Here is a 24,027-nt window from a genome sequence, read left to right as displayed (position 1 = left end):
TTATTTCACTAAGGGAGACTGATTTCTTACTAGAGATCACTTACAATTTTTTAGAAATTGATTTCTTTCATAACAACTACTGTAATTAGAAAATCCAGAATATCTGTTATATCTCTCTTGCTGTGGGTATAGTTTGTACTTCTTTATCCTCATTTTGTTTTCAGAAGAGACAGAGATCAGTAGGCCACCATCTTTAATAAAACAACTTCACATAGTTACCATAGGTTATTAAGTCATTCATCAGCATGAGTCTTTATCCTAGTATGGAACAATCATTGTAACACTCATATGAAATCATTACTTTGAACACCAGACAAGGGCGTTAATTTTATTTCTTTGACTCTCCACCCTAGCTGTCAGCATTTTCATCTTAAAGTGACAAAATCATAGTTTAGGAGACCATGCAATCCCACAAAAAGCACACTTCCTCATCCCCCAGCCACACAAATGCTTTCCTGCAGAGATGAAACAAAAATGTAAAACCGATAAATGGAAAAAGGGCAATCATCCCAAGACTGAAGCAACTTTACTCTAACCTAGGTCATGCTTGAGAAATTTAGCCATGAAAGGTTGGCAAGAAGAATCTTTCCTGAATTGCTCCCTGGGTGGGAACATTGAAGTCAGTTCAGAACAAGTTTGAGGAAAAAAAGTCATGTTTTTCTAACATTTTCAAAGAATTAAGTTGGTGAAAGGTGCTAGATTTGAAGTTCTTAAAAGTAATTATCTCTCCCTAGGGCACACATATTGTTCCAAGGATGGTAAAAACGGTGAACTCTTGTAGTCTTAAATTGCTATCCATTAAAGAAAGGCCTTCTTTCCTTGAGTTGTAGTGGTCTGGATACTACTCACTCTGTGCCTTCTGTTGAGACTACGAATTATAGCTTAAAGATAGCCTAGCAAAAGATTTTTAAAAGTCACAAGGAGAAACAAATGGTTGGAAAGTGCCAAATTTGCATTGACTTTATTCTTCTTTATTCCCTTCTCACTGTGATGTGCTGTTCTCTGCCTCTGCTCCATGTCCACTCCGTTTGGATTGTCCCTGATTTTCTCATCCAGGAACTCTCATAGCAACTAAATGTGATATAAAGGAACTCCCAGGCACTGCATTACAACCCTAAGTTGTTCCTATATATTGCATGAAGAGCAGGTAAAAAGAAAATAGAAAGAAGTTTGGGTGCAAAGTCATCTTTAGTTCCTATATCTTTTGGACTTTAAATTGTTTGACCTCTTCTCATGTCACTGCCTACTGTCTTTATGGCAATTTACTATAAAGTCATCACATATGTCCTCTAGATAGAAATTTGATCATTCTAATTCAATTGCACTAAATAATATCATTTAAATTTGAAATGGGTCATTATGTGTGATGAGTAATCCATTGTTGGTGCTATTGCAATGTGGTCAAGTTTATAATTTCATCAGGATGCTAATTTTTAAATATAATAGTTGCATTAACATTTTAACCTTGCTATGATGGATTAATAGTTGGAAGACAATTGTTTCAATGCTCCAAACAAAACAAAACAAACCAACCAGTGTCAAGTTTCTTTTCTTTTCTTTTTTTTTTTTTTGAGATGGAGTTTCACTCCGTCACCCAGGCTGGAGTACAGTAGCGTGATCTCGGCTCACTGCAACCTATGGCCCCAGGTTCAAGCGATTCTCCTGCCTTAGCCTCCAGAGTAGCTGGGATTACAGGTGTCTGCCACCACACCTATAACACACCACACTGCCAACACACTTGTGTTTTTAGTGGAGACGGGGTTTCACCATGTTGGTTGGGCTGGTCTCCAACTCCTGACCTCAAGTGATCCGCCCACCTTGGGCTCCCAAAGTGCTGGGATTACAGACATAACCCACCACACCTGGCCCCAGTGACAATTTTCTAATGGACATTCTTTTAGACATAAAGTCTTTCTCTAAATTTTAGGAATATACTAAGATTCTTTTCTCAAAATAATTAACTCATGAATAAAAAAAAGGTGATCTATGGGTGATATCGTTTGGCTATGTCCCCACCGAAATCTCAACTTGAATTGTAATCCTCATAACACCCCCATGTGAGAAGAACCCAGTGGAGGTAATTGAATCATAGGGGAGGTTTCTCCCAGTTGTTCTTGTGATAGTGAGTTCTCACGAGATCTGATGGCTTTATAAGTGTATTAGTCTGTTCTCACACTGCTAATAAAGACATACCTGAGACTGGGTAATTTATGAAGGAAAGAGGCTTAACAGACTCACAGTTCAGCATGGCTGGGGAGGCCTCACAATCATAGCGGAAGGCAAAGGAGAAGCAATGGTACGTCTTACATGGTGGCAGGCAAGAAAGCACGTGCAGGGAATCTCCTCTTTATAAAACCATCAGATCTTGTGAGACTTATTCACTATTTCGAGAACAGGACAGGAAAGGCCAGGCCCCACAATTCAATTACCTCCCACTGGGTACCTCCCATGACACATGGAGGTTATGGGAGCTAAAATTCAACATGAGATTTTGGTGGGGACACAGTCAAACCACATCATAGGAGCATCCAGCATTTCCCCTCCTGGCACTCATTCTATCTCCTGCAACCCTGTAAAGAGGTGCCTTCCGCCATGATTGTAAGTTTCCTGAGGACCCCCACCCCGCTGCCAGCCATGCAGAAATGTGAGTCAATTAAACCTCTTTTCTTTATAAATTACCAGCCTTGGGTATTTCTTCATAGCAGGGTGAGAACAGAATAATACAATCTTTTGTAAAATATGATCTCTAGTGATACCTCAAAATAGAGTTTTCAAAGCTTATTAGATTTTAATTGAGGAGAGGTTGGACTTCATGTATTTTATTATGCATTTTAAACATCCAAGGTTCAGAATAGCATGAAAATTCCCAGAGTTAGAACAAAAAATGCAAAAGATTATTGATTAATTCTGAGGATCATAAGCCAAAGAAGGAAAGCTTATTTAGTGAATTTTCATACATCACTAATTATATCCCATTTATGCAAAAGATTACTGACTAAACTTCGATGCATAAATAAGGATCTATCAAAATTTAAGTCAATAGAATGGCTGTCATGGGTTTTAACCTACAGGGCTGTTTAGTGGTAGGAAGAACTCTTGTGGCTTTATTCTGAGATAGGGCCCTCTTCGAAAGAAGCTCAGCACCATGGGAACTCATTTGAAACAGCTGCAGGCCCTCTGCTTTTTCATCTGTTGCCTTAAACTTCTTGTATTTTGACTAGCATGTCAAATTCATGGCTTCTGCTGTCTTCCTAGACAAATCTTTCATGACAAAGGAAAAACATTGCTGTGGTATCTCAGATCTCTCTCACTGAGCTTCAAAGAGCAAACAGTTAGAAGCCATATGGCAAAGTATGCTTTCTGTTAAATCTCTTGTTGGTCATTTCCCCTTCTAGGTTTCAATGAGTGTAATCCAAGATTGTGCTCAACAATCTTGTGTGAACCACAACAATTTCAGTGTGAGCCACACTGAATTCCTGGAGATGTGATCAAATCAAAACCCTACCTATTGTGTCTGGAAAAAAAGCCACATAGTGCTACCAAGTTTCGATTATAATTCTGTGTTCACAATCAAATTGTCATTGAAAGTCTCTTTTCTCTAAATATAATTTTAAAACATGTGTCTCAAGTTAGTAAGTGGGGTATATTATATGATTCCAAAGTTATGGCATATTTTTTATTTTTTAAGGAAGTTCTTTATATGTGATATGAAACTTCCCACTAAAACCAACAACTAGAAAATGTTTGAGAAACAAGGCATAATTTTCTTATGTTTTCCTCAAACATTTTCTAGTTGCATGCCTTAGAAATTTCAACTTTGAAAATCTGTTTTGCAAGATATATTCTTACAAATAACAATTATTTAAAGAAACTTATTGATTATATATGCTTAAGGGTATGGCAAATTTAAAATAGTATTTGTTATTCTGAGTAAAACTTAGAATAAATTTGTAGCGTTATCGGAAAGACTGGTTTATTTACTTATCTTAATCAATTTCTTTTTTTTATTTTAAATGTCTATCTAATGCAAAGAAGCCAATTATTCAAACTGGCATTTTAAATATATATAGTATATAACACGTATAATATATAAGAAAGAAAAATATTCATTTGGTCAGATTTTCAGAAATTTGAATTAATTTCAAAAACGCTGGCCGTGCGCGGTGACTCATGACTGTAATCCCAGCACTTTGGGAGGCCAAGGCGGGTGGATCACGAGGTCAGGAGGTCAAAACCATCCTGGCTAACATGGTAAAACCCCATCTCTACAAAAAAATACAAAAAATTAGCTGAGAGTGGTGGCAGGCGCCTGCAGTCCCAGCTACTCAGGAGGCTGAGGCAGGAGAATGGCATGAACCTGGGAGGCGGAGTTTGCAGTGAGTTGAGATTGCGCCACTACACTCCAGTCTGGGTGATAGAGTGAGACTCCGTCTCAAAAAAAAAAAAAAAAAAAGTTGCTTCGTAACCATCAAGTTTTCTACTATTATAGATATTATAGATTTTAGTAATTTATGTGATTTTTCTTTCTTATTACTGTATTGTATTATTGTAAAAAATGATTTGTCTACATGAGAAACTTTCTATTTGGCAGTTCTAAAGGAGTTCCTGAAATTTCTCAAACTCTATCCTTGAAATTTACTCAGGAAAACGCTTAATTCAAATGTGAACAAGACAAAGGATGGTTGTAGAACTATGAAAATATCTCCATGGATATTAAACCAATTGAATATGTTTGTGGGGTTGGATTATATGACAGTGAAAAATATGGATTGAAATATAGATAGGTACCTCCCCCCTTCTAATGCTCTTCAAAACACACTTAGGTTCCTTACTTTATCTATAGACAAGTGGCTGATGATGGGCATTTAGCTGATTATGTCAAGGAAATCAACTATCCTGCTTCCTGGGGCTTCCTTTCAAAAATTCCTAAAGCATGCAAATACTCCACCGCACTGCCAAAGTACATACATACTCTCACACAGAATTAAACGTATGGATGGTAAATACTAATAAATCTGTTTTGCAAGATATATTCTGACAAATGACAATAAGAAAATTTCAACTTTGTCGAAGCTTTTGAATTGTAGTCATATACAAGGGTAGAAATGCTTGCCTTGCTTTTTATTTAAATTCTTCTTTAAAAATACACTAGTTTAAGAGAGAAATGATTTTTAAAAATTATTTTATTGGAATAGAGAGTGTTTTCTTCAGTATTTTTTGAAAGAAATCGATATTGGCTTTTGACGTTACCACAGTCAGAAATATATTGAGATCAATCTGAAAGAGCCAAATCCATGACAGCTTTAAAGAATGAAGATGATTTGAAGTCATAAAATGTGATTTTGGGGTAAATAAGTAACAACAAAAGAAATTTTTTAAAAAAATACAGAGTGCTTAGAAAATATTTATGTGCATTTCACTAATTTGGAATGAATATGAAACATAGTTAAACAGAAACTACTCCTTATTTCAACTTTAAAAATTTAGGAAAAATTCCAATTTTACCAGTCATGCTTGTAGTTCCGCATTTTAAGTGACACAAATATCCCACGGGACAGGCTTGTTTTACATATTAACTTTATTGATTTCAGCTTAGGAATAAAAGCCACTACGATCTTCATGAAAAATTAATGACTCCCCTAGGAGAAATGTTGCAGAAAACACTGGAACTAGCATTTTTATCTAGAAGGCAGGCTTAAGACACCTCCACCCAGGGTGGGGTCAAAGGTTATTTCAATTTCTCCAAGGTGCTTTGGATGAGAAGGGAGCTTATCTTGAGTGGGAAAGTAACTGAGCTGCCTAGACTTGATCCTGGCCACAGGATAACACTGGGAGTGGAGGAATGGGTACTCTCGTTGTAACACTTTGTGGTGTTGGTCAATGTACCCCGGTCAAGCCCTTGGAAAAACATTCCAAAAGTTTTCAAGAGAGGAAGCTAGAAATGTCGTTGAGAAGTTCATCATTTTTTGTAATGGGTTGGTGTTCAGGGTGCTGATACTAGGGAGGTACTGGTATTAAGAAGGGATCCTCGCCCCTTAGGGCTAAAGAAGTGCCAGCAGGGACTGGAAGCTCATTGGGAAGCATTTTAGTGGAAGATAGTAACAGGTCAACATCAGAGGTCACTACAAGCACAGAACAAGTTTCAAGTCAAAGTCCAGCCAATGTCAGTGAGAGAAGGGGGAATGCTGCAGCTATAGAATCGGGTAAACACAAAGAGAAGTGGGGAGACCAGCTGCCACTGGAGTGAAAGAGCAGGAAAGATTGCCAAAGAGAACATCTATGCTCTCAGTCAGGTGTGGCCAGAGACACAAGGGGCACATAAAACTGGCCGGAAGCCCCTCACATGTCCTTATGAGGTCTTTTCTGGTTCTGTGTTTTTGTTGTTGTTTTTTTTTTCCTGTGGTCATTTCTAAGCAAATTTTGAGGAAGATATAGCAAAATTGAGTTTCCACTGTCCAAAATGAAAGATTTTTATGCCTGTGTTCTTTTGTAATGTGATTACTGATTTTTCCGCTTCTGCGCTTTGTTTTAATTGGTCAAGAAGCATGGAGTGGAAGGAAACATGGCTCTCCAAACTTCTATCAGTTCCTGCAGCTCTTCCTCTGGGATAGGCATATCAGATGGGCAAACCCAGAACAATGCAGTATGCTAACAATAGTTCTGCCAATTCAGAGAGGTAGGCTGCCCTCGGGTAAGAGAGTCTAAAAATGGGTATAGGGCACTGACTTCAGATATGCTTGTTAATAGAAGAATCTGAGTGGCTCAGAAACAGATCCTGGAAACGTGCATGATTTGTTTTAACTGAGGGTCCTGTTAGAAGTATATCTTAGGAGTCTTAGGAAATCCTGTCATGTTTAGGAAGCCAGCTGTATGATCAAAGACTCAAACAACGTGAGTTGATCCAGATAATATGAGTAATGCTTGTCAGTTGGAGAATTTGAATTAAACTCATCTGTCTCCAACCCCCAACCCCCCCAACCAGATAAAAATATAATATGAAGAAAATTTCTCCTGAAAAGGTAACTTTATTGGTGCTTATTTTTATACTACTTATTTCTGCTTTTTTTTTTTTTACTGAAGTGCTATATCATGAGATCAAATTCTTCCTCTCTCAAAGAGCAGTTTTCAATCTATCAAAAGCAGTATTAAGTGATGCTCTCCCCACAAAGTCACCAGATCAGTGTCCCTGCTATTCAAAATCAGCTTCAAGACCAGCTTCCAAATCCTCTTTTAACCAAAGGGTTACTTTGAATTCCCTCTAAACTAGAAATTATTTGTTAGCTAGAAATACCCTCATAATATCTGCGAATGCCTCTACAACTAAGAATTTTGTAGTCACACTAGTGAGAAAGAAAATTAATAGTTCTTCTTTCCATTGAGCTCCAAAATATACTTATTACTCAAAAGCAGTTGCCAGCTCTCTCCAATCATCTTCCCATGCAGTTGGGAAGTTGATAATATTCAAAAGTTCATGCTGGACTGGCTGGTTAGCATTGGAACTTTTGTGTTTTCTTTCTGATGTCTGTAACTAATCCTCCATTTCTTAAATTTCTGGATTATTTTAGAATTACAATCACTTTTTATACATAAGTGTTCAAAAAGCAATTTTAGTTCTTAAATTGTATGTGAAATCAACACAGACAGTTTGGCCAGATAACTAAAAATCACAATGCTGAAAAATTATTCTGATTTTGTGTAATACATCACAGCATTTTCCTTTTATGTTTGTGCTTTAAAATTTTTTTTTCAAGTTGAAATGCCTAAACTTTAGAAAGTTTTGAAGTTTGGCACATGTTGGGTGGAATACTCAGAAACTTGGAGAAATTCACCTTAAGAATCCAAGATTTAAAAACTAATTGCAACATCTCAATGAATTAGTGATATTTCCTTGCCTTCGGTTGCAGAAAAATTATTATCTAGGTGTCCTTTCTTATGAGATTCCTGCCAATTCTAATTCCTGCTCTAAGTATGAGTTGTTTAAGACTAAAACTATTAAGGAGAAATCTTTAATCATGAGCAGCCCTATAATTTATTAAAACTCTTTTAGACAATAATTCTAATAATGCTTTAAGGGACCTATAGCTTGAAGTTCATTGTTTTTCCATGTTTTGTTCATGTAAGTCCCTGCAGAATCCTACAGGTTGAATTTAGAATGTTTCTTTATTGATCACTCCAACTAGCACACTTAATGGAAACTGAAAGAGATACTCACTAGACACAAGATGGCAGTAACATGCCACCTAAATTTTATGATTTACTCATAGGGAATAGAGTTGTGTAATTCAAATCAGAGACTTTTTATGGTAATTTTTATCCTTTTGGGAAGGTGGGGACATAGATGCCTTTGAGAATCTGATTAAAATGATGGTCTCTCTCTTCACTCCAACCACTAAGTATATAAATTTCTGATGAAGCCTTTTCGTAGACTTAAAAAGTTTAGTCCTGTGAAGACTAACGTATATTTTTCTCTTGAAAATAAATCCACAAAGGGAACAGATGATACAAAGAGTTCAGTAATCCAAGTTACAAGAGAAGGACAGACTCAGAAGTTGAGGCTTTTGATGGCATTTCATCTTCTGCCTTTCTAGGGAAGAATGATAAATTGCAAAACTTTAAACAATGTATTGTGTATTCCTAGCACTTTCCGTTATAAGAAAGAGACACATCAATAGGTTAATGATTATTTCCTTATTAGCGGTAGGTCCTTTTCTGTTTAATTTCTAATCTTCTGATTAAAAGTTGTATTTTACCAAAAGTTTGAAAGTTTTCTTCTATTAATTATCTGACTTCAAAAAACCACAAGCAACTTTTCTTACCTCTTAAAAGTTGTATGTTTTTAAACATTGTAAGCTTATTTTGTGTTGTTCTTATTATTGTTTTGAAACAGTATAATATAACCTGTATAGCTGAGTATCAACTAGCATTTCAGTAATTCTGATGTACACATATATCCTAAATTTGAAATATATATATATATATATATATATATATATAAATAAAATTTAAACAGAGTGACATATGGTTGCAATTAAAGTTTTGTTGTTTGGCTTTACAAACCTTAGTAGAAATCCTGAGGAATGAGTCCTAACTCTGGCACAGGTACAGCTTAAGTAACCAGCTTCCATGATCAGTACATGCAAACTTGGAAGAAAATAAACAGGGGGACGGGCACAGCTGATTATCATTCTAGAATTCTGATTCAGAGTTACAGCTTTCAAGTTTGATAAGAAAGTACTGGCGATTTCCCGGAAGCAAGCAGCTATCCTGGTTTTACAGAACACAAGGTGGCAGAATTGCTCCTTTTAAATCACTGATCTTTAACTAACTTAAAATTTAGAAACATTTCTAAACAGCAACACATAGTAAGAGGAATGGTTGAAACACTAAATTCCCACAAACATTAAGGTGATATTATGCATAATGAAACAAAATATATATTGTGAAAAGCTCATTATGCTAGCTTTTTGGAACTCTCATAAAGATAAGTGAAAATATTGATTGACTTCATTAAAAATGTCTTTAGTAAGTTACTAGAGCATCATTTAGTGAATTCTTTCTATAATCTGAGTTACTTTTACATTTTAACAAGTTGCAATAGTGGTTTTAATATTTGAATTTAGAAAGGATACACTCAACAGATATCATTTTAATATATTGTTTCAGGTGAAATTTCAGCCATTGTTTCAGTGAAATATATGTTGACACCAGATTTTCTCATCTAAAAAATTAAATTTTATTTATCACACAAATATGTTAAAACATCATACCGTTATGGAAGAGACAGCAACAAAATATGATGTGAAGATCACATGCCTTCGAAAGGCTAGTATTTAAGAATTATTATAACTATAATAAAATTATTCTAGTAGACATAATGCAAGAATTATTTTATTGAATTTATCTGAAAGTACTAAATCAATTATTAGATATTTATTAGACACTGCCACCTTCAAAATATTTAAACATTTTTATATTGTAGCAGAGATTGTTGGAAGCTTTAGGATTAACAGAACTCCAAAAAATTGGCCAATGATTGAACAACTATAGACAGCCCCCATTTTAATTAATAGTGAGTGTTTATAAAAAGGCAATTAGAGGTATAATGTCTGGAAGTAGAACAATAGACTTAGAGACTATCAGGAGAGTTAAATTTCTGATATCTGAAAAATGCTAATCCTTCCTTAATTTGGGAGTGAAAGGAGGTAGTGTCCTTCAGGACTGGACCATCCATTGGGTGAATGAGAGCCCCTGGACGTACCAGGAATCAGCTTCAGTGGAGGGGATCAATACTCACATACCAATTACTGATTACTGGGGAATCCAGTGGGGCATTTGTTCTTTCTCAGTCAGCAGCTGCTCCCTTGAGCTCCAACCTCTCCAATGGGCAGAGGTAGTGATGCAGGCAGCTCCCAATCTCTTAACTTCATCATCAGGTTACCTAATTTACACAGAGCAGGGATAACAGAGCATGTGTTTCTACCTCCCCCTTGCAGCCTGGTCAATGAGTTTTGGGCCTGTTTTGGCCACCTTACATGAAGAGGGGATTATTTTGGACAATTCCTTTGCTGCTTAACATTATGGCAATTCTACCCCTATCCCAGAGGAAACAGGTGGAGGGGGCTTTGAAGTAGGAAAGAGGACAGCAGCTCCTAGTGTCCCACAGGAGCAAGGGAATTTCAGGTGCCTTGGTGGGTCCTTTATAGACCAGGTGGAGAAAAAGGTCCTTTTACTTGACATTGATCTTTGTTCACAAATACTATCAAATGATCTGGTGTAGGGGCAGTTCCACTCCCCTCTCCCAGCCCCTCATCCTCAGCCACATGACAAATTTGTTCAAATTTGTTAATAATCAGATAGTGTCTTAAAAAAATAAAACTATATGTACTTTGAAAGGTAGATTTAGATTTGCCAATGCACAATTTATATTTAAAAACAAAGTCAGATTATCTGAAGGCTAGATTTAGAGTGGTCAATATATGATAACTGTATATGGACTGTCATATATAGAAAAGTGACAGATGATTTTTTTTCTCTCTTTTGAGACAAGGTCTTGCTCTGTTGCTCAGGCTGGAGTGCAGTGGTGCTATGACAGCTCACTGGAGCCTCAACGTGGGCATAAGTGATCCTCCCACCTCAGCCTTCTGAGTCACTGGAACCACAGGTGCACGGCACCATGCCTGACTGATTTTTAAATTGTTTAAGAGAGAAGATGGGGACTCCCTATGTTGCCCAGTCTAGTCTCAAACTCCTGGGCTCAAGGGACCCTCCAGTCTTGGCCTCCCAAAGTTCTGGGATTATAGGTGTGAGCCACCATACAAGGCTCTTTTATATATATGTATATATATAAAAATGTGTATATATATATATATAAATGTACATATATATATGTATATGTATTTATATAGAACAGTGTCCCATTTGGCCACTTTGGTGTGGGAGATATAAAGGACATGTGTGAGGGGAAAGGCAGTTCAATTTATTGAGGACATACCATGTTCTATGTGATGTGTTAATTTTTGTATTCCTTTACGTTGGAGTAGCTTCACATAATAACTCTATAAGGCAGAAACGCCATCATGAAGCCCAAAAGGTTTAGTCTCTATAAGTAGGACTTCGTCATCTGCTTACTGACTTTTGTCTCTTTTTTCTATATTCAGAAACATTTAAACAACATTTATTGCAAGACTATTCTGTGGTGACTAATACTGATTGCATAAAAATCATGATCTCGTTCATGTGTGGGTTTTACACAAAGGAATATGTCTTCATTAGCAGAATTTCTCATCAGTGGTTGATGGGAAAATGATTTAGGATGAAAAAAGACAGAGTTGGCCAGGATAACACTAACATTACTGCTAACTCTCCAGGCGTGAGTAAGAGTATCATGTCCTCACATTAAGTTTTCTAGCACAATCTCTAACATCCTACAGATCAATAATTAATATGACACAATTTTACTTATGCTAATAGCCTGTCAATCTAATTTGAAAGATAAGTGAGCCTTATTTATTTTTTCTCTTTGAGATAGTATGCATTCCTCAGTCTTTGGACTATGACGAAGTATTTGAAGAATCTTCTTGCATCCTAATTGTGCAACTCAAAAATTCTCAGCTTCTCATTGTATCCATGAGTAAATGTGTGTACAGTTGGTGTACAAACACCCCTAACAGTTTATTAGAGCACAGAAACTTAAGAGATGAAAGAAACAGAATTTTATGTTTTATGGATGTTTTATTTTGATTTATATTACCAAAAAGTCTCAAGATATAGAAAGGTACTTTTGAAATTTAATCCGGTTCAAAACTATAACATCTCTGTTCAAGACTAAACATCTCCATAAATTATGTTTGTTAGATTTTATAGTTCTAAGGGAGAAAAACAGTTACCAAAGATGCTTAGCAAACACTATTTAAATCATTTAGATATAACTTCTTCCTTGGTATATTGCCAGAGTTTTCCTCCAAAACAAGTGTGTATTTCAAAATAAAAGAGAATTACATTATAAATTATGAATAAAAATGAAAACATTTGAAGAAAATGTCCTGAGGCCTAGACTCAAATATACTAATTAGTGTTTTACCAGCTCAATATGTTTTGCCAAAAGCAATCTTCTGCTTGATTTTAGTGTTGTTTTTCAGTGAAGATCAGTTTTTGGATATCTTTCATGCAGGACTACAAGGCAAAACAAGAAAAACAAAATAGAATAAAGAGTTATTTGTGTTTGACATGACAATGCACAAGACTATTGTTTCATCTCAAAGCAGACAGTATACATGGCTTTTTGTACAATTCTAAATGGAGAAGATCATGCATGTTTATTTCTGCTTGAATTTTTATCAAAACCGTTTTCATAATCCCACCATGGCAACTGAATTCAACAGTTTCTTCTAGAAACAACAGTCTTTCCCCTTTCTACCTAGCTTATCTCATTCAGAATACTAGTATGTATTTATGAATATGAAAAAAGTAACCAAATGCAATCAAGATAAGTTATGGGCAAGAAGTACAGAAAGAAAAAAGAAAGTTCAAAAAATGTTGTGAAGGTGATTAAAGAGAGAATGCCTTTGTTTTGCTGTAATACATGTTTAAGTATTTAGGAGATATGGAAGTACGATATCTGCATTTAATCCCAAAGATTTAGATTTCTGTGTCTATATTATTTTATATGTGTAAAGAGAGAGGGAAGGGAGAAGAGGAATAGAAATAGAGTATGTGTGAGAAATTTTGGCAAAATGTTGATAGTTGTTGAATATAGCTATGAGTGTGAGTTTTATGTAACTATTTAAAAACCTTCCTGTGAGTTTAAAATTTATTTTAAAATAAAATGTCAAACAATGCATAAAAATGGTGGCATGAAGGAAAATCAGTAATATTTGAGTAGGAAACATAAATTATTTAGTATTTAGATGCTTTTGACATTCTGTTTCTTCAGGGGTGCTAGTTGATGATTTAGAACTCTTTTTTCTTTTGTCGGGGAAAATCTGATATCAAATACAATAAACAACAATTATAAAACAAATAAACATGAAGCTAATATGATTGAACTAGAAACACGAGGCATTTAGCTTCTCTTCACCTCTTCTTTAACCCCACCATTGGTCTCTGCCTTAGTCAGCTTGGCTGGCATAACAAAATACTGTAGACTAGATGGCTTAAACAACAAAAAAGTATTTTTTCATTGTTCTGGAGGCTAGAAGGCCCACATCAAGGTTCTGGCTGATTTAGTTTCTGGTGAGGCTCTCTTTCTGGTTTGTAGATGGCCCCTTCTTGCTGTGCCCTCACATGGCTTTTCCTTGGTACATGGAGAGCTCCCTAGCATATCTTCTCATAAGGAAGTCAGCCATATTGGATTAGGGACCCACCCTTATGACCACATTTGACCCTAAATATTTCTTTAGAGACTCCATCTCTAAATACAGCCATACTAGGGATTAGAGCTTCAACACACGAATTTGGGGGGCACACAGTCATTCACTTCATAAGATTCTCTGACTCAAGTTCAGAGAAATAACAGGTTTTCAAGAAACACAGAAAAGCAATGTTTTATGTTCTATGCTAAATTGTTTTTATAGTGTACAGCATAATTAAACAGGATGATTTTACTAACTCTAGCTCACACTTAACTCAGCAAAGCATCATACTATATTTTATTGAGATGCTTTTTTTCTCAAGTTTGTAACAAGTGAAGCACATCAAATGATGTCCTTGTTCTTTTTTCTGCGACTCAGTTAATTTTCTCAGTGTTGATTCCATTAATATTCTGTTTTATGTTAATTATTTGGTCTTCTAGGCATTATGCAGTCTGAGTCTGAAAGTTGAAAACAATAAATTACAATTAAGTTGGTATGGCCATGTAAATATCCTTGACAACAATGCCCAGTGGATGACGGAATTACGTCTCCTGTTCTATAGCACCACTGAGACAACCCCATTGACATTCATTGGATGAAGATCAAATCCATTCTCCTTTATTACTCTCCTCCAAGTTCTCAAAATCATGACCCATTTTAACTTCCTTCATGTTTTTACCATTTTTCTTTTCTTGGTTCTTTGTAGAGTTTCTAAGTGCTTTTATTTTGATTTGTTTTTCTTGTTAGAAAAGGAAACATATGTTTTCTTTGTTATGTATCCAGTATCGTCTATCTTTTTACTCATTCTATTGCCTAAAATCCAGTCTATTTTTCCTCTAGAAGTTTACTGGCTTCCTATTCTAATTTGAAGGAATAACTTGATATGCGGACCATAATTGCTTATGCAGATGCTTGTTTTACCTGAAGTTCATGATTGATTTCTTTTATTTTCTTTCAGGTTTTGATAATATCCTTGATTTTGTCTCTTCTTTCTGTCATGTAACCCATTCTTTATGTGGACTTAATCTCAAATCTCCAGTCCTTTTGCCTGGAGACCTTCGTTCTAAAGTCCACGTCCTTCTAATTTAGCTGAACTGGTGGCTTTCTGATTTCAGAAGCAATCATCCTAGGTCAATAATTCCAGATTTTCTTATGTTATTTAATTCGTTGTTTTTGTGCTCTGATGTTGCCTTTTTTTTTTTTTTTTTTGAGATGGAGTCTCACTCTGACACCAGGCTCAAGTGCAGTGGCGCAATCTCGGCTCACTGCATGATGTTGCCTTTCTTTTTGATATTTCCCCCTAATTTTGCTGCAGCATATTGTATCAGTTAGAGTTCAATCAGAAAGCATAATCACCACAGAAGAAAGAACATTATTGGAATCAGAACATATATAATTGTGGGAGCTGGCAAAGAAGTCTACAGAAGGCTGTTGTCACTGTATCTGGCCGTGGGTCTGAAGTTGCTATAGATAGTCAGGGCTGGTAGTTCAGAAAAAAAGTTAGACATGGAATAGGAGACACAGCAAGGACAAACTGGAATCCATAAGGAAAAATTGGAAACACTGTCTGAATCTTACCTCCTCCAATCTTGATGATATGAGTGTTCTGTGTTAGGAAGAGCTAGCTACTCTGTACCTGGGAGCAACAATTAAACCTGAAGCTCTAGCAGGATCTGAAAAAGCTGTAGATCTGGCTGCTTCCACATGCCTAGCGGCTCAGTAACAATGTGTGTGAGCTACAGGGGAACCTGGTACCCTACAATGACCTTTAGAGATTATAGCCATTGTTTCACATCTACCATTCCAATCTTGTGCGGTTTCTCTTTTGGCTCACCCTAACGCAGAAAAACATAGAAAACAGAATTACAGAAGACCTAGTTTTGGCTTAACTAAGTTGATGTTGTACGAAGCTGTCACAGTCTGCCCCTTGTCAACCTGATATTCATATACAAGCCTTTCGACTTCCAAATAAAGACAGCAAAATCATGTTTCTGCCTAATAACTGAACAGACACTAACTAACCATCTCACCACAAGAGAACACCAAGTCCTTTTGGCCATCTTTGGGTAATGCTGTTTCCTTTTCTAGCTGAGACACATTTCCTCCTGGATATCCTTGTTGCGGGAAGTCAGGGATCCAAAACAGAGGGACCAGCTGAAGCCATGGCAGAAGAACATAGATTGTGAAGATTTCATGGACATTTATTAGTTCCCCAAATTAATACTTTTATAATTTCTTATGCCTGTCTTTACTGCAGTCTCTAAACACAAATTGTGAAGATTTCATGGACACTTAACACTTCCCCAGTCAATACCCTTGTGATTTCCTATGCCTGTCTTTACTTTAATCTCTTAATCCTGTCAGCTGAAGAGGATGTATGTTGCCTCAGGACCCTGTGATAATTGCGTTAACTGCACAAATTGTAGAGCATGTGTGTTCGAACAATATGAAATCTGGGCACCTTGAAAAAAGAACAGCATAACAGCAATGTTCAGGGAATAAGAGAGATAACTTTAAACTCTGACTGCCGGTGAGCCAGGCAGAACAGAGCCATATTTCTCTTCTTTCAAAAGCAAATGGGAGAAATGTTGCTGAATTCTTTTTCTCAGCAAGGAACATCCCTGAGAAAGAGAATGTACCCCTGAGGGTAGGTCTCTGAAATAGCCCCCTTGGGTGTGGCCGTCTTCTATGGTCGAAACTGTAGGGATGAAATAAACCCCAGTCTCCCACAGGTCTCCCAGGCTTATTAGAAACAGGAAATTCCCACCTAATAAATTTTGGTCAGACTGGTTGCTCTCAAACCCTGTCTCCTGATAAGAGGTTATCAGTGACAATGGTGCCTGAAACTTCATTAGCAATTTTAATTTTGCCCCGGTCCTGTGGTCCTGTGATCTTGCCCTGCCTCCATTTGCCTCGTGATATTCTATTACCTTGTGAAGCACGTGATCTCTGTGACCCACACCCTATTCGTACACTCCCTCCCCTTTTGAAAGTCCCTAATAAAAACTTGCTGGTTTTGCGGCTTGTGGGGCATCATGGAAACTACCGACATGTGATGTCTCCCCCCGGATGCCCAGCTTTAGAATTTCTCTCTTTTGTACTCAGTCCCTTTATTTCTCAAACCAGCCAACGCTTAGGGAAAATAGAAAAGAACCTATGTGAAATATCGGGTGAATTTTGCCCGATATCTGGCTGAATTTCCCCTGATATATCCTGGAGCTTAAATATTGAAATATCAAGTTAATTACTATTAAACATTTTATAATAGTATGGAAATGGGGTATGGAAATTTAAAATATCAGTTAATGTAGACACAAATATGTTCATGTCTCAATAATAAATATTCATACCACCATAGTTCTCATTTCTACAACATATCATGTTGTCATTGCACACTTGGAAACGATATTGTAATCTTCCTTACCAGAACATATGCTCTGTGAAAGGAGGGACTGTTTCTCAATTACTTACTCCTCTATCACTAGTTCTGAGCACAGTGACAAACACAGAGCCGACATTCAGTTGGTATTTAATTAGCATTCAATAAATGCAGACCAGTGTGTGTGTGTATCTGTGTTTGCATGAGTGTGTATGTGCATGTGCATGCATGCACATGCACATACCAAGATGACCCTGGGTGTTTTAATAAGAACATCTTCCAAGTTGAATGCTTCCTGAGGAAATTTACCTGTAATACAGGTATCTTTTCACATATTATTCCCCTTCATTTGCACTAACAAATGTCTCCTCTTGCTCTTTTGTGCTAGTTCAGTCTCCAGGTACATCCACTTGGAGTTTTGCTGTTTAAGGGTTTAATTACCACTTTGGTATGAATTCTACTTTATAAAGATTTTCTTTCTTTTGTTCCTTAGAGCTACCCTGTGAGGCACTCAGAGCAGCTACCATTACTATTTTAATTTACAAATAAGGAAAGTGAGATTCAGAAAAAATGTAATGCATTGTGATGTCAGTGGTAGTTAAGAACTCAGATTTGCAGCTTGTTACTCTTAGTCCAGTACTCCTACAATGAAGACATGCTGGTATTTAAAAATTGAAAGTGGTTAGTAATGGACTGAACTTGAATAATACACTAAGGGAAACAGCAAATGAATTTCTTCTTCTTATAGCTATGGTTTTGAAACCACATAATATTGCTCAAAGGACAAATTAAATGTAGGGTTGTCTACTTTAATTCAGTCTTATGAATTATGATTAGAGGCATAAAAAATTACTAGTATTACTGAAAGCATTTCTTGGCATTAGACATAACCTGTTTTAGTATTGTAAACTATTTTTGATATTTGGTCTTTATTGTATAGAATTTGGCTCTGTATTTCTGGTCCCTATATCACTTAATGGTCTCTGCGTATGTGCCTCAGAGCCCCTCCCTCAAATCTCTGTCATTTAGAAAACCAAAAGTGGCATTTCATTTTCTCTACTTAAAGACCTTCTTCATCATTTTGAAATTCTGATGACATTTATTGGGTACAACCATGAAAAAGAGAATGGCCATATGCTTTTAGTTTGCCAAGTTCTTACCCAAAGCAAGTGTTCAATATGCAAAGAGATACTTTTAAATTGCCAACACAGTCATTTTTAATTAGTGGACATTCTTTGTCAGGAAAATGAAGTTTCACATTCCTTTGGGTGTGAAATTGTTTATTAATATGTTCTAGTTTCTTCTGAAAAACAAAAAAAATCCGTTTTAGGAATAAAACTTAGGAATAACTTAAGCTTCAATTTCTGATACTCAGATTATTGTTTGGGAACAAGTCATCATTGTATTAAATCTGTTTCTCATCACAAAGGGAGTATCTATTACCTGAATAAATACTTTTAAGATATTTTTGCATGTAATTTAAGTCATGTCCTTGCCATGAGCCAGGGTACCACACATTAAGAGATTATTCAGAGGAGCTCAGAAACAGCAATGATTAAGAAATTTTAAGTAGATTTGTAGCACAGTAATGGGTTTTCAATCCTTTAATTTTACTTACCATCTCTACAAAGAAGGTTTGAGATTGACTTTGACTTCACATATTTCCATATTTTCAAAATTACAGAAATGGATCTTTTTTACTAGTCGAACATCCAGAATTAAAGTGAGCAGCTCATGAAACAGGCAAAGAAAACACAGTTGAATCAATCAACTTAGTATTAAATCTTGTGGGTAAAAAGCCAGTACTAAGGAAGTGGCCACCAGGAATTTGACTGTTCCCACTGATAATGGAATTTGGGAAGGGCTACTAATCACATGGTTTTGCCCTCCCTGGGCTCCAGAATCTTGATTATAACAGTCAGGTAACTTTATCCTCTGTAACCACCTTAGCTCATGCTGATTTAGTCTTCATCTTCTCTGTGGTTTGATCCTTCTTGTCTCAGTAAAATTATTCCATTTTGTGTTCTCTCACATGAGTCATTTCCATTTCTAAAATCAGTATCTCTTAATGGTATTTTGCTTCCAGAAAGATGGAGTAGATATATTCCTGCTAAATCCAACTGAAAACCTTGAAAATTATATGTAAAACAAACCTAGGAAGACCTGAAAAGTGTAAAGAAGTAGGAAAACTAGCTAAGGAACTTGAGGACCAAAGAATGACATGGTGGTAGGTTTTCTATGTTTTCTCTTTGCCTCACGTATTTCCGACGTGGAGCTACAGAAGCTGGAAAATCCCAGAAATGCCAAAGGATGCAAAAACAAAAATCCTTAACAAAAGCCTACTGGCTCTAGTCAAAGTTTCAGGAAAGACACATACTAGCAAGAAAGAAAACTTCTATATAATAACTCTTCCACCCTGACCAAATATCACAGAAAAAAATCTGTAGTCCACTTCCACCTTAGCTGGCAAAAGCTAAATGAGGAGCATAGATTTTCATTCTTTTTAAGCTATAAAGAGGTGTCTCAAACTCTCTCTAGGGTGATGTCAGAGAAGACTGAGTAGGAAGGTGTAACTTTGTTCTCTGCTAAGGATAATGAGTCACACTTGTGGCTCCTATTGTGTCAGTGAATACCACCTGAGGAGCTTTGCTTTTCACTCCCACCTGGTAATAAAGAAGAATGCTCTTTCTGGTGGTGGTAGAAAAGGCCTAGAGGAGAGTCTGTACTTTCATCATTGCCCATTTTCCCCTCCCTATGGTGTCAGTGGAGGCCACATGGGGAGCAATAACAAAAGCACGCCCATATGATATCAGCAAATGTCTAGTGGGGGCATGAAAATCCCTCACTTGCCCAACAGTAACAAGGAGCTTTTCTCCTCTTTGACTATTAATAGAGGATAAGTAGGGAACTTGAAATTCTATCCTCACTTGCCTTCTGTCCCTGTAGAGGAAACCAACTGAGTAGGTTTACATAGGATCCAGTCTCATAGTTCCAAAGGGTTCAGGTTTTAACAGAATATCACATGTCACAAAATGGCCAGGAATACTTCTAACTGAATGAAGAAAGAAATCAAGAGATGTCAACACCAATACAATGTAGATACTGGAATTATGTGACAAATCATTATAAAAATGCTTCTGAAAGTAATTACAAATAAACTGGAAATAAATTAAAAGAGAAAAGTCTTAGTAAAGAAATAGAAGATAAAATAAGAGCGAGATGAAAATTTTAAAGCTAAAAAATACACTAACCAAAATAGAAAACTCAGTGGATTAGTTCAACAGCAGAATAATGAGGATAGAAGGATGGATAAGTAAACAGGATTAGAGTTCCAGAAGGAAAGAACAAAGAAGGGAGGGGTAAAAAAAATACACAAAAAAATGACCAAAAACTTCCCAAATCTGGCAAAATACATAAACCTACAGATTCAAGAAGCTGAGAAAAAACCCATACAATATAAACCCAGAAAAGTCTGCATGAAGATATATCATACTCAAACTTGTAAAAACTAAAGGCAAATACAAATGATAGAAGCAACTGGGGAGAAATGACATTTTGGCTATAGGAGTAAAACAATTTGAATGATATTAACTTTTCAATCAGAAATCAGTGCGTCAGCATTTTTTTAAGTGCTGAAAGAAAACTGTCAGCTCAAAATTCTAAATACCATTTACATTTCTATTAAGAATCAAAGCTAAATGATGACATTCTCTGAAGAAGGAAAGCTAAGAGAATTTATCACCGGCAGATATATTCTAAAAGAATGACTAAAGGAAATTATCCATGTTAGTTAGCATAGGCTATTAATATACCATAGTCTGGATGGCTTAAACAACAGACATATTTTCTCACAGTTTTGGAGGCTAGGGGTCTCGGACAAAGACACCAGCATGGTTGGTTTCTGGTGAGGTTTCTCTTTCCTTCTTGTAGGCAGCTGCCATATTGTTGTGTGTTCACATGATCTCTTTGTGTGTGTGTGTGTGTGTGTGTGTGTGTGCAGAAAGAGAGAGAGACAGAGACAGAGAGGGCGGGAGAGACAGAGAGACAGCTTTCTAGTCTATCTTCTTAAAAGCACGCTAATCCTATTGTAAAAGTGCCCTAACTTTGTAACTTTATTTAACCTTAATTACCTCCTAATAGGTCCTGTCTTCAAATACGGTCACATTGGTGATTAGGACCTCAATCACCAATTTTATATATAAATTTTGAGGGGACATAATTCAGTGAGAATTCACTTCAAAATTGGGTCAGAATTTATCATTCACTAAACAGAAATGAAATGATAAAAAAAGAAATTTTGGAATATCAGAAAGAAACAACAAGAAACAGCAAAAATATGGATAAGTAAAAGACTTACTCATATTTTCTTCTTTTCTTGGGTTTTCTAAGTCATGATTGACAGTTGAGGCAAAAATTATTACACTGATGTGATTCTAATTGCTTAGAACAATATTAAAGACAATTATTTTATAAATGAAAGAGGAAAAAAGATGTGATGAGAGGAAAGCTTTAACGCTTCACTTTAATTGGTAAAATGTCAACATCAGTAGACTATAATAAGTTTTGTACTATAATACCTTGAGCAACCACTAAAAATGCTATAACAAGAGATATGTAAAAATTATAGTATATGCATCAAAATAAAATTCTAAAATAATTGTCACATTGCTCATAAAAAGGCAGGAAAAAAGAAAACAGGAAACAGAACAAAGAGAAAAGAGAGGGAGCAAAATAAAACTTAAATGGTAGATTTAAATGCCAGCATGTTAACAGTGACATTAAAAGTAAATAAATACACACATGAAAAGACAAAGATTTATAGGGTGGATTAAAAATATATGACTGAGCTATATGCTATAAAAACTCACTTCGAATACAATATAAATAAATTAAAAGTAAAAGGATGGAAAAGATATGCCATGCAAATATTAATTTAAAAAAGCAGGAGTGGCTAGATTATTGTAAAATTAAGGAGACTTCAGAACAAAGAAAATTACCAGAGACAGAGAAATACATTACATAATGATAAAAAGTTTATACACCAAAAAGACACCAATCCTAAATGTGTACATGTCAAACAATAGAGGTACAAGATATGTGAAACAAAAGCTGATGTAATTAAAAAGACAGGAGAAAAAGACAAAGATCATAGCTTTGTTGGAGATTTCAGCATCTTTCTATCAATAATCAATAGGCTATTTAGACAGAAAATCAGTAAAGATATACAAGAACTCAACACCACCAGCTATAAGTATCTAATCAACATTTAAGGAACATTTTACTCCCCAAAGAGCAAAATAAACATTTCTTCTAAGTACCCATGGAAAGTATACCAAGATAGACCATATTTGGGCTATAAAGCAGACCTAGACACAGTTTTTGCAAATTGAAATCATATAAGGAGTGTTCTGTAATCACAATGGGATCAAACTGGAAACCAGTATCAGAAAGTTAATAGGAGGATCTCCAAACACTTTGAAATGAAATAATGCATTTCTAAATAATCCCTGGGTTAAAGAGGAAGTTTCAAGTAAAATAAAAAAGACATTCAATGAATTATAAATGAATATATAAACATATAAAGTTTTTCAGGACACAGCAAAATTAGTTCCAAGAGGGTTTTTTTTTTTTCCTTTTTTTTAGACCATGTCACTCTTTCACCCAGGCTGGAGTGCAGTGGCATGATCATGGCTCACTGCAGCCTCACCATTCAGGTCTCAAGGGCTCCTCCTGCCTCAGCCCCTCAAAAAGCTTGGACTAGAGCTGCATGCAACCATGTGCAGCTAATGAAAAAATATTTTGTAGAGACAGGGTGTCACTATAGTGTCCAGGCTGGTTTCAAATTTCTGGCCTCAAGTGATCCTCCCGTCTTGGTCTCCTAACATGCTAGGTTTACATGCATAAGCCACTACACCCGACCCCAAAAGGAAATTTCTAGCACTAAATGTATACGTTAGAAAATAAGGAAAGTTCCAAATTAATCATCTAATCTCTGACCTCAGTAATTTAAGAACAAAATAAATCCAAAGCAAGCAGAAGGAAGAAAATATTAAAGATAATAGTTTAAATCAATGAATTTGAAAATAGAAAAGCAATAAAAAATTCAAAATAAGCAAAGAATTAGTTCCTTGAAAAATAAGTAAAATTTAAAAGCATAAAAACTGACTAAAAAAGAGGTCACAAGTTGCCAATATTGGGAGTGATACCACTACAGCCATTACCGAGCTCAAAAGGATAATAAGAAAATACTATCAAGAACTCCCCAAACATGTTTGTTAACTTTGATAAAAATCGACCAGTTTTTCAAAAAGCACAAAATGTGACAACTCACCCAATATGTAGTAGATAAATTTGAATAGCCCTATAATTGTTAATAAAATTAAATTGTAACTAAGTCAAATTTGAAAAACTACTAAAAAGAAATCTCCAGGCACAAATGGTTACCCATATAATTGTACTAAATCTTTGAATAGCTAACACCAATTTTATGTAATCTCTTCCAGAAAAAATAAGTTTACAGTTCCCAATTCTTTTTTGATGTTTATATTACCCTGATACCAAAAACTAAGAAAGAAACAAAAAAGAAAATTACAGACCAATGTCTGTCACGAATATAGACATGTGATAAACTTTATTAAAATATTATTAAATAGAATTCAGTAATGTAGAAAAAATATACATCATGATCACATGGGATTTATTCCAGTGATTTGAGGCTACTTCAGTATTTGACAGCCAATGTAATCCACTGTGTTAACACTCAAAAGGAGAAAAATCACAAGATCATATTCATTAATA

At 35.7% G+C, this 24,027-nt stretch overlaps 1 annotated feature.

Moving 5' to 3' along the window:
- Positions 19,587-20,201: an enhancer, noted in NCBI's record as "OCT4-NANOG hESC enhancer chr21:29697851-29698465 (GRCh37/hg19 assembly coordinates)". NCBI's record gives its function as "activates a minimal SCP1, AML or CMV promoter by ChIP-STARR-seq in naive H9 embryonic stem cells {active_cell/tissue: H9 hESC(naive)}" and the evidence as "EXISTENCE:reporter gene assay evidence [ECO:0000049][PMID:30033119]".

Source organism: Homo sapiens, chromosome 21 (genome assembly GCF_000001405.40).
Source record: "Homo sapiens chromosome 21, GRCh38.p14 Primary Assembly".
In the NCBI taxonomy this organism is placed as follows: domain Eukaryota; kingdom Metazoa; phylum Chordata; class Mammalia; order Primates; family Hominidae; genus Homo; species Homo sapiens.
Note: the sequence above shows the minus strand (reverse complement) of the source record. Positions and strands in the feature narration are given on the sequence as shown.